General features: G+C 45.7%; 1 pseudogene across 1 annotated transcript; it reads left to right on the top strand.

The window, feature by feature from the left end:
• The first annotated feature begins 55 nt into the window (after positions 1-55).
• Positions 56-11,263, top strand: LOC100133920 (methylenetetrahydrofolate dehydrogenase (NADP+ dependent) 1 like pseudogene; annotated as a pseudogene). Its single transcript, NR_024443.3, has 4 exons — positions 56-158; positions 1,766-1,873; positions 4,214-4,366; positions 9,600-11,263. The product of NR_024443.3 is annotated as a methylenetetrahydrofolate dehydrogenase (NADP+ dependent) 1 like pseudogene (transcript).
• The last annotated feature ends 432 nt before the right edge of the window (positions 11,264-11,695 follow it).

Below are 11,695 nucleotides of genomic sequence, written 5' to 3'. Positions count from 1 at the left end.
GCCTCGAGCGCTCCTCCTGCTCCTCCAGGGGAGAGGTCAGTAAGGCAGGGGTTTGGCTGGTGCCACTTGAACCAAGTTCAGATGCACTGCCCAAAATAACATCCCTCGTCCGGCCAGCAGTGCCGTGGAGACCGAGTTCTGAAGCAGGCCTTTGTGAGGTCAGAGGTGGAGTTCTGGGTGGGCACTCTGGGCCTCACAGTCCCAGAGGAAAGGCCTGTCCTCCAAGCCAATGTGCAGGCTGACTCTGGGGCCAGGGCCTGAGGAAGCCCTCCCTGAGCCCCAGCCCTGGGGAAGGCTGAAGAGGCCTCTGAGCCCCCAGCGCTGGGGAGAGCTGTGCAGAATAGGACTGGAGGTGGAAGTGTTGGAGATTAACAGCCAGATGGAGGGGACGGGGGGAAGCCCTGGGTCAGTCCTCAGGGAACCCCCATTCTGAAGGGGGAGAGGGGAACTCAGGCCCAGTCCTCAGGGGTCCCCAGTCTGAGAGGAAGGAGGACACACGAGCCATATTTGCAGAGAAACACCAGCCTGCGAGAGGAGGTAGAAGCCCAGGCCTGGCCCTCCAAGGGCCCCTAGTCTGAGGAGCAGTCCACCTGCCCTCGGGAAAACACCTCCCTTAGGAAAGGCCAGCAAAGCCCCCATAAAGGAGCCACAGCTGGATCGGGGCATGGGGCTCGGGGCCCAGCGGCGTGGGAGCTCTGGGACCGAGGTGCAGTCAGGAGAGACCCTGGGGGCCAGCGGCAGTCCAAGAGGACTTTTGGAGCCAAGGCCTGACTGGGTCTCAAACAATGGGGCAGGCAGTTTGGGGTTTCAGCAGGTGGCCAAGTGCTGAGACACAAGGGAGTTGTTTCTGGTCTGCAGACACTGAGGACACTTGCTATGTGGCGTGGTGGACAGTGGGTAAGTCCTGGGAATTTCTGGCACCAGGTTCCATGGATGGGAAGGGGCATAGGATTCAGTTGCCCAAAGCTCAGGTGTGGGAATGGAACTGTCCTGTAGAGGGTGCCAAAGACCAGGTCTGGAAACTGCATAGCCCCAGTCCCCACCCCTACACACACCGTCCCACCCCTTCCAGCTTTTTCTGCAGATCTTTCTGCAGGGGTGAGGCAGGGAGAGGAAGGGGTCAGCCGCAGTCCTGGGGCTTCCTAGTCAGAAGCCCTCTGTAAGGCACTAACTTCCCTCTTCCCTCTGCAGATTTTTTTTTTTTTTGAGACGGAGTCCCACTCCACCCAGGCTGGAGTGCAGTGGCACAATCTTGTCTCACCACAGTCTCTGCCTCCCAGTTCAAGTGATTCTCCTGCCTCAGCCTCCCAAGTAGCTGGGATTACAGGCATGCACCACCAAGCCCAGCTAGTTTTTTTGGATTTTTAGTAAAGACAGGGTGTCACCATATTGGTCAGGCTGGTTTCGAACTCCTGACCTCAGGTAATCCACCCGCCTCCGCCTCCCAAAGTACTGGGATTATAGGTGTGAGCCACTGTGCCCGGCCTCCCTCTGCAGATTCTACGTGGGCTCTAAGCAGCCTCTAAATTGCCTGAACACCTAAGGCTTATTTGCTATTTGACATCTGATCTATTCTGACACTGAAAATTTCAGTGCTTTAGGGTGCTAAAAGGAAAAAAGAGGGTTTGCAAGGAATCCTGCAGTTGCTGAGGGGGTACCCTGATAAGGGAATTTTAAGCAATTACAGTAAGTGTCACTAAACTTTTTAAAAAATCTTTAACCAGATTAAACTTACACAATTTTGTTATAATTTGTGTTTCTGCAGCTTCCAATTGTGGACAAGATAAGGACCATTGCCCAGGCTGTCTGTGGAGCCAAAGATATCGAACTCTGTCCTGAGGCACAAGTCAAAATAGATCGTTACACTCAGCAGGTAAAAGTTGTACTTTTAAGGGAAAAGAAAAAATTCACCTTAGGCTCTCAGAATACTCAGCTTGACTTGAGGATTTGTACATGTCTCACCAGCTAACCTTTGCTTAATCTATTTTCTGGTTAACAAAGATGAAAGTAATATCCTCGGGTAGAGTGCAGACTATATTTAGAACTTTATGGTGAGGCATGTATCCTCTGATCCATGCATCATTTACTTCTGTGACTATAAATGTGTCTGATATGGGTGGTATCCCTGTTTGTAGGTGATGTGTGATCTTTCATCCCTCCCACTCAGCCCAGAATGTTGAAACTATCCTTTGGAGTAGAGCTGCGGAGTCAGATTTAGATGAATTGCAATGCTTCCTCTTCCTTACAGGCCTCTTACTACCTTAAAAATGCTAGCAAGGTGCCAGGGTAGGCAGATAGGAGTGCAGCCTATAAAGATGGGAATGTTTGCTGTTCTTATGCAAGCGGTTCATTGGCTTTTTACTGAGCTGGTCCACTGAGGTTGAAGGCTCCATTATCTTCTACCTCTAGCCACTGAGAAAGGCAAGTAGGCAAACAGCTGGGAAGGTGGCTATGATCTGACAGCATGTGTCATCACCTAGTCCAGTGACAGTCATGATGAATCAACTCCATTACAGGAGGCTCAGCCAACTTTTACCAAAAGGACCATGTGCCTCCAGTGTCCCTCCTACTTTGGTGTAATCAGATAGATAGAAGTCAGAACATTTTAAGAGCCTGCTGGCTAAAGAGCTTCATGATTGGTAGTGTTGACCTTATCTTTAAAAACAATCTCCAACTCCTTACTCTTTTTTGTAAACCCATTTGAAATTTTGTTAAATGCTACCATTGCCAGCCAGGGTATTTGTTCTCCTAGGTTTGGTAAAATAGGAACTCAGAAAGTTCTAAATTCTTAGAATTTTCCCTGATGTTCTTGGCTTACCCTTTACAAAAAGGATTCCCAAGCACTGCTCTGTGCCTAGGCATTGTGGTGAAGTTTTCATTCATGTGCAATGAACCAAGTAAAATAAGGTCATTCTCATGAGATTGCTTTGTTTGTTTTTCCCCTGAGTTTTTAATAATGATATTTAAGACTATCATTTATTGTAATATTAAGTCTTTTCTCCTTTCAGTGTTAAAATGTTATTTCTTTTATGAAGTAATCTGGTGACAGTATATAGCATACTGGTTGGTTTCTGTTTCTTTTTAATATGCCTACTGACAAAATTTTTACATTAGCAAACCTATAGAAATTACTTTAATATTTAACCATGTCTGAAATTCAAAATTCTGGCATCATTCTGAAAGGCAGTTGTGATTCTCACTCAGCAAAATTCTTATCAGTATAGAAGAGTGGAGATTTCAAAAAGAAAATGGCCCCAAGCCCAAGTCCTCCCTAAGTTAAGACTCTAAGATCTTCCAAATAGTTTTAGGCTAAGTCTTATGAAAATTTGACTAAAGATTTCATTCCCTTTATCTCTATCAAGGAAATACTCCTTAAAAGTCGTGTCAACCAGGCACGGTGCTCACACCTCTAATCCCAGCACTTTGTGGGGGCAAGGCAGAGGATCAGTTGAAGCCAGGAGTTTGAGACCACTCTGAGCAACATAGCAAAACCTCCATCTCTATTTTTATTTTTTTTAAAGTTAGTGCCAAGTATGTGGTTGCAATGAATTAGCAAAGCCTCTAAAGGAACACTATGTGCCATTTAATCAGAAACAGGCTTCGAGGACACTGTGCTTTTTGTGAGACACCACGTGTGACTTCCTGCTCTTTCACCTTTGGAACTCTGGGTCAGACATAGACTTTGGTCCTTAAAAACAAGAAGCTTAAATAGTGACCTCATCTTAGTTCTTGTAATGTAGTTGCAGATCAAATAACCATGATTCATGAACCAACACAAAGGAACCCTTTGCTTCTTGACTGACTCCAGAATGAGTGAACAACATGACTAAGAGCCTAGTCGCAGAGCCTTTCTCCAGACTACCTTGCTGGGTCCCGGATATTAATAGTCTTGGAAAGCGGTTTCTACAGCTGCTGCTTTGCCTGAAAATAGCAATGTTTTTCCCAAACATGCACATAACACTGCCTTCTCTTAACGAGAACCTCCAAAATAAACAAAAGTCACCCTTGACCTACTAAACAGTCATCACATGGAGATGAGTTTTTATCCTCACCTTCTTGCTTGTTCAGTGAACAAGTAGTAACAAGCAGCTCCTGCGTGTGCCTAGATCTGAGCTGGCATACCATTGCTGCCGAGACTGTATAAAGTGCAAATTGAAAAACATAGGAGACTCACATCTATATCAGTGAACACATTTTCTTTCCTTTCTTACAGGGTTTTGGAAATTTGCCCATCTGCATGGCAAAGACCGACCTTTCTCTGTCTCACCAACCTGACAAAAAAGGTGTGCCAAGGGACTTCATCTTACCTATCAGTGATGTCCGGGTCAGCACAGACGCTGGGTTCATTTACCCTTTGGTCGGAACGGTGAATGAGTCACATTTTCCAAAAACCCTCCCCATTCTGCATTGTCGCAGTGCCTCAAATCGTTATGCTCCACCCGCTCTTTAAAAATCATGGATTAGGGAGAATTGGGAGTAATTAATAGTACAGTATTCGCTATTTTTCTAAACACTCTGTCTCACCTACCTTTGCCATTGTGGTTTGGGTTTTTCTTTTTTTAGATCATGTGTTCAGGATCCTTAGAGTCATAATACTAATTTCCTTCCTAAGGCAAGTAAGAACATAACTTGGGAGAATTCAGTCTGTTATTTAAATGGTAGAATGGCTTAGGACAGTGGTTGTCAACCTTTATCACACATAGCACCCAAAATGATGTAATCAGTAGGGTTGACTGCTCACACCAGACAGGATCTGCCCAGTCACCCCAAGGGCTGGGGAAAGCAGTCCTCACCCTCTCACTTCCCCAGCACATCAGGTGGGAAGTTCTGGCTTAGGAAATTACTGAATCATATGAATTCTCATTTTTGATGTTGTTGTGATGGGATTACGTTGCTATTGGTTGATTATTCTGTTATTTTGTGTTGTCTATGGAGGTAAAGGAGATGAACAGAGATATAAAAGCTTATCAAAGTGCTTAAAATCCATGAAGATTGGCTTCATTTTGTATAGCTACACAGTGATAGCCTTCCGTTGGTACCATCAGTGGCCTAAATTTGATTTCTTGTCTTTGGGAGTGCTCCTGAATTTGGTTTAGAATAAAAAAGAATTCTTAAAACCTGGCAGATCCCATGGCAAGAAAAGAAAAAAAATTCTAACTCATCATTATCATCATCATTAGTGCAAAGTGATCTGAGCTTAAACAGCATACATTATAATAATTTTTTATAATAAACCATGTGGCTCTATTGTGCAAACAAGCAATAGACAGACAAAAAGTGCAGATTCTTGCCTTGATATTTACATACTTCATCTAATATTGGACACAATGTTTTTTCAATCAGCATCATTTGAATTCTTCCTGCATGTGAGGCACAGAGATTTTAAGATGAGCAGGTGTGAGATGCATGGATTTGAATAGCATAGAGGTATCTGGAGAGCATTGTGTTGGTATTCTGAATGCCCTCAGATCCCAGGGGGATAACAGCTCATTATGCCTGGGGTAGAACTTACCTGGGCTGTGGAAGAAGAGGGGATTCTTCAAAAAGGGCTCAACCTCTGAACTGGCAAAACAGTGAGTTTTGACTCAAAGGCACCAGAGTACTAATACATGACATCCTCTCCTGGGGTGATCCAATGTGGCTGGAGTTGGATGAGGTGGGGAGGCTGGGGATGGGAATGGGAATGGGATTGGGATAGCAGGACGGGGTCACATGGCCAAGGATCTTGAAGACCATCTCATGGAACTTGAATCTGATCTCTACACACTGAGGAGCCACGGTAGGGTGGGTTTTTTGTTTGTTTCTTGGTTTTTTATTTTTTTTATTTTTTGTTTTTAAATAAGGAGGAGAAGAATGTGGTCTGACGTGTATTTTAGAAAAATAGCTCTGGCAGCAATGTGGAGAATGTTTAGTGAAAAGAGAACCAGGCCCAGAGAGGTGGGTTAATTCAGCTGGGGCCAGAGGAAATCAAGGTCCACACTTTGGCCACAGAAGTAGATACGGAGAGTGGGGGTGAATTGCAGACACACTCTAAAAGTATCCTCCTACAGTAGGGGCCGGGTGAAGGGACTGTTCTAGCTTGGTGACTGGCTGGTGATGCCATCACCGTGTCATGGAAAGGACACGGGAGGAGGCAGATTGGCCAAGCCAGAAATGAGCCTGGCTTGAAGAGAGAGAGCTCGGAGGGTTAATAGGATCTAAGGAACAGTCTGTGTCTCCACTGGAAATACAGATACAGCGCTCCAAAGAAAGGGGCAGGAAGGTCGCCCTGGTGGGTTTAAGGATATGGGTGAAGGCACTCATTAAACAAGAGACACAGGGATAGCTGGAAATCAGTGAGAAGAGAGTAAAGGAAGACACCCCTGAAACACCCACTTTAATGCAGCCGACTCCTGGCAGGGGTGCCTTCCAGAAGGCAGGAAGGAAGGAGCAGGGGCATGGCAGAGAACGTCCAGAAAAATCCCACAGACACCGCTCACAGCAATGTTGACACAGAGAGAAGGGTCCAGATGAAATGGGTTCTGAAAGACATTTTCAGGTCTACAGTTCAGATCAGCAGTTGCCAGGAGTTGGGGGAGGGAAGTGTTTGACTGCAGAGGGGCAGGAGGGAACTTGTTGGGATAATGGAAATACCCTATGTTTTGACATGGTAGTGATTCCATGGCTATATACATTCTTCCAGACTCATAGACCTATACACGTGTGTTGCCCAGGCTGGACTCAAACTCCTGATCTCAAGCAATCCTCCCACCTCAGCTTCCCAAGTTGCTGTGACTATAGGTTCATGCCACTGTGCCGGGCCTGTGTATCATTTAGTTATACCTCAGTTAACAAAAATGGGTACTGAAGAGCTTGCTGTATATTCCTTAGAATGGCCTCAGTCAGCCGGGTGCGGTGGCTCACGCCTGTAATCCCAGCACTTTGGGAGGCCAAGGTGGGGGGATCACAAGGTCAGGAGTTCGAGACCTGCCTGGCCAAAAGGGTGAAACCCCATCTCTACTAAAAATACAAAAATTTGCTGGGCATGATGGCGGGCACCTATAATCCCAGCTACTCGGGAGGCTGAGGCAGGAGAATTGCTTGAACCTGGGAGGCAGAGGTTGCAGTAAGCCAAGACTGTGCCATTGTGCTTCAGCCCGGGTGACAGAGCAAGACTCCATCTCTAAATACATACATACATACATACATACATACATACATACATACATAGAATGGCCTCAGTGATGGCCACTTTACTCCTGAGCTTTAGTTGGCAAAGGCCTTGGCTTAGGGATAAGAGGGCAGCTGGACAGTGCAGGCCCAGAGAGACTGGACCATCAGGGGAAGTGAGGGGTGATGGAGGTGCCCAAACAGAGCATGAAATGGTAGAGTAGATGAGAAGGTTAGCCTCGATCACGATCTGTCCTGTCCTATCCTCTGCGGACTCTAAACCCCGAAGCAGTTCACCCAACAAATTCATTCACTCGGCCAATGCTGCATAAGGCACTCAGCTCAGGGCTACAGGAAGCCCCAACCTAAAGAAGCTTTCTCTGCTTCAGGTAGTTTACAGCTGGTAGACGCAGATAGAAGTGAATTAGCAAAGAAAATAGTTTGATATAAAAACTGTGCATTTAACTGCAACCTTAATTCACTTCTGAGCATTTAATAGCCATTAAACAAAAACTAGATCAAATTACTACGTTGGGCGTATATCACTTTTATAACATGAAAATACAGTAAATAGGGCAATGATAAACTGCAAGTGCTTGGGGAGAAGGCTTAACTCAGGCCAGTTGCAAGAGAGTGAGAACACAGACGCAGCCTGTGGGAGCGGGCTCTGTGCCATCACCTGGCCGGTCCTGGCTGTGTTGCTGTGTTTTCGCACCTCAAAAGTTGGGACAGCAAGGAAAGGCCATCAGAGCTAGAATGTTTCTATAAGAAGTGTATTCAGTATGATTTGTCTAGCTCTGACTAATGTGTGCAAACCCCAGATTCCACTAAGCAAATGCAAGATTGTTTTTCCCTGTTAATTTGTTCCTGGGCCCTTCTTGCTTACTGTGTTGGGCATTGGAGAGGGGGTGATTGACTTCTTTCTTCTCACAGTGTTTTCTCTCTCTCTCTCTTTTTTTTTTTTTTTTTTTTTTTGAGACAGAGTATTGCTCTGTCACCCAGGCTGGAGTGCAGTAGCATGATCTCGGCTCATGCAACCTCCGCCTTCCAGGTTCAAGTGATACTCCTGCCTCAGCCTCCCAAGTAGCGTGGACTACAAGTGCATGCCACCACATCTGGCTCATTTTTTATATTTTTCATAGAGACTGGGGTCTCACCATATTGGCCGGGCTGTTCTCAAACTCCTGAACTCAAGTAAGCCACCACGCCCAGCCATCTCTCACAGTGTTTTTTAAAACAACAACGCATTTTCACAACAGTTGGCCTGGAGAGGTGTCCAACCAAGTTGGAATTCATAGCAGATATCCATTTGAAGTTAATTTTTGGTGTATTTGACTGTTTTCCATTGACTTCAAAATTGAGGCAGTGAGAGAGACTTGAAGAACTTAGAATATGAACCCTTTTCTCACTGGCAAACATGGGACATAGAGGCATGTCTTGACAGCAATTTATGGCAACACTCTGGGCTGGAATCTAGGGGTTAAGCAGCCTGGCCGGTTTTGTAAATTAGCCAGGCCACCCTCAGAGTCAGTTTGAGGGTTTAGTGGGAAGCCTGAATAAAAAGAGAAGTTAAACTTTTAAGAAAAGGGTCAAGCTTTAAAACTGGAATTGGCTTTTCAAATTTAATGAGTAAAAAGAAACCCCAAAACTGGAATTGTAATTGTGGAGAAGTACAAATTATAATATTTGGAATATCACCTACAAGGAATGAAACTATCCAGAAGCATTTAGATGGTAGTCATTGATTGTAGGGCATCTCTGGGGGCAGGGTGGCTCCTGGCACTGTAGAGAAAGACCGTCGGTGCTTCCGTCTCCCAGTTGGAGGAAAGGGATACACTGTGGAGGTCCCAGCAGCTTAGGGCCTGCCCCCATGTGGTTATCTCTGCACGGTTTCCTTCCCTCTGTCTTCCTGTAACTCTTTCACCCTGGCCCCTGTGCCCTTTCTGGGCAGAGGGTGACAGGAGGCACTGCATGGGTGCATTCTTTTTTTTTTTTTTTTTTTTTTTGAGACAGAGTCTTACTCTGTTGCGTGGGCTGGAGTGCAGTGGTGTGATCTCGGCTCACTGCAACCTCCATCTCCCGGGTTCAAGTGATTCTCCTGCCTCAGCTTCCCGAGTAGCTGGGATTACAGGCGGCCACCACTACGCCCAGCTAATTTTTTCCAATTTTAGTAGAGACGGGGTTTCACCACATTGTTCAGGCTGGTCTCAAACTCCTGACCTCGTGATTCACCTGCCTCAGCCTCCCAACGTGCTGGGATTACAGGTGTGAGCCACCGCCCCCAGCCAAGTACATGCTTTTTTTCCTCTTGTTGGGATTGGCCTGGGCTATACCTATCTCATGGTGGAAGCCTGCCTAGGGACCAGGCCCTAGAAGACCAGCAGTTTATTTAACTGGGTTGGCCTTTGTCCCCACTCCCTGTGACCCGGCCCTGCCATATCTTTACCCAGGTGCACCACTGACATCATTGCTCGGCTGGACTCTGGAAAGCAGGAAATTGCTGGAGCATGTTTGGGGCATCAGTGATGTCACCCGCTACGAATGCCGGGTGGGGTTACTGGACTGAGGGCCATGAAAAAAGAAAGCTGCGGCCCTGCCCCGTGGACTCACTGCCATTCTGTTCTTTCTCACGTTTCAGTTCAGCTCACTTTGTTTTCCGTCCCCCTCCCCCTACTGTAAAATTATGTACTCAGTGTTTCATTTCCTGCTGGATCTGATTCAGGTCAGTGATGAAGTTCTTTGTGAGCTCAGTGGGGAGGCGTTTCCTCCCCTTCATACCGGCCCTGCTTAGGGATGCATGGTTGGTTATATACTTGCTTCACTCGGTTAGGCATGGAGGAGAATTCATTCAGACCTCATAGGTTTAAATCAAATGCATGACCCTTCAGATTTTCCAGAGATTTAGACAGTTACAGTGAGACAATTAAACATTCACCCCCCAAGCTGCACTTGGAGATGTGTAAGCAGTAATGTAGTCATGCGCTCCCCATGATATGAGAGTGTGCAGAATGCCACTCCCCACAGCAGGTCCACCAGGACCTCCTCAGGGAGCATCTTGCCTACAAAATCACCCATCCCTTTTTCCCCACTCTCTTCACTTTCCCTACGTTTCCACTCCCACACCCACAAATAAACAAAGAAGCTTTGAGCTTATTTTACAAAAGTGTTTGAAATGGCCCTCCTCTCTCTGATGCTCCTGGGCCCTGGTTTGGCCCCATCTGTGCAGTCTCTCTGATGAGTGTGAAATAAGCCAGGTTTGGCTCATGCTCTCCCTGTGAGCTTGCTCTCCCCGTGAGACTGCCCTCTCCATCTGGCCTCACTTTGTTTGTGTCCCTGTGTCCTTTATCTCTGATCCTGGGATCCTGGTGGTTTCCTCCTCCCCGCCCAGCTTGGGTACTTTTCCCCAGGGTTCTTCCCTATCTCTACATCAGAATTTCCTGCTTTCTCCCAGATATGCATTTCCCTGGCCCAGGCATCCATTACTTCCTCTCATCGTGAGGTCCCTGCAGCAGGCTGCCGATGGTGTTGTGGCCATGCCTTCCTCCACAACCCAAGGAAAGCTACATGTGTGTCTGTCCCATAGGGAAGGAGTCATCCCTGTCTCTTCAGTGTGGCATGTTCAGGAGGAAGGAAAGTAACCAGCGTCATTCTCAATTTCCGGAAACTGTTTATCATATTGACAAGAAGAAGAAAGCTTTGTGACTCATGAGAATGATGTTTTCCTCTCTGGTACATAAGGTTATGTAGGTACAATCCATTTGTGTAGAGGATCTTTTCTCCCTTAATGTGATGTACACATTTTTAGCACAAGTATAAAACTACTTTAAATGAAATCAGCCTCAGCCAGGGAAATATGCTGAGTAATAATGTTGCCAGGTACTATACCACTGAGTTGAGTTTGCAATTCACTGCTATTAATCCCTGTGTGTTAGTTCTGAATTTTTACTCTTTGCATACGTAGAAAAATGGTGTTTCTCTTCAGAGTCAAGGAGGGAAAAAAGAAAAGATAAAAGACGCTTATAACACCTTTGTGTCCACCCCTAAAATCAGCATATTGATCTATTACTTTTCTAGGTATTGATGGAATATTGACTCATATACTTTCATAAAACTGGTAATATATATATAGACTCATTTTTCTTCTTCCACTTTCATCTACAGCCTACTTGTTTTTTCCCCCCCGTTTTTCGTTTGGATTCATAGCATAAATTGACAACAAAGATACATCTCAATCTAGAGCTTCCAAAAGGCATCCATAAAAGTATCTGGTTCTCATGGAATTTCTCTTTCTTCTGTGTCTCTTAGTTACACTTTTCTCTTATTACACTTTTATATGCAGCCGTGGCTAAGAGGCATATAATCAGAAGCAGCTAAGCAATGTATGCAAGGGAAATAAAATGAACGCAAACCAAGATAACCGGTTTTGTAAGTTAGATAGCAAGGCCACCCTCAGAGTCAGTTTGAGGGTTTCATGAAGCCTAAGAAATATAACTGATATAACTGATATATTATCAGTTATAAAAAAAGTTATAAGAAAAGGGTCAAG

The sequence above is a fragment of the Homo sapiens genome, chromosome 2, assembly GCF_000001405.40.
Source record: "Homo sapiens chromosome 2, GRCh38.p14 Primary Assembly".
In the NCBI taxonomy this organism is placed as follows: Eukaryota; Metazoa; Chordata; class Mammalia; order Primates; family Hominidae; genus Homo; species Homo sapiens.
This window is presented reverse-complemented; position numbering and strand designations above follow the sequence as displayed.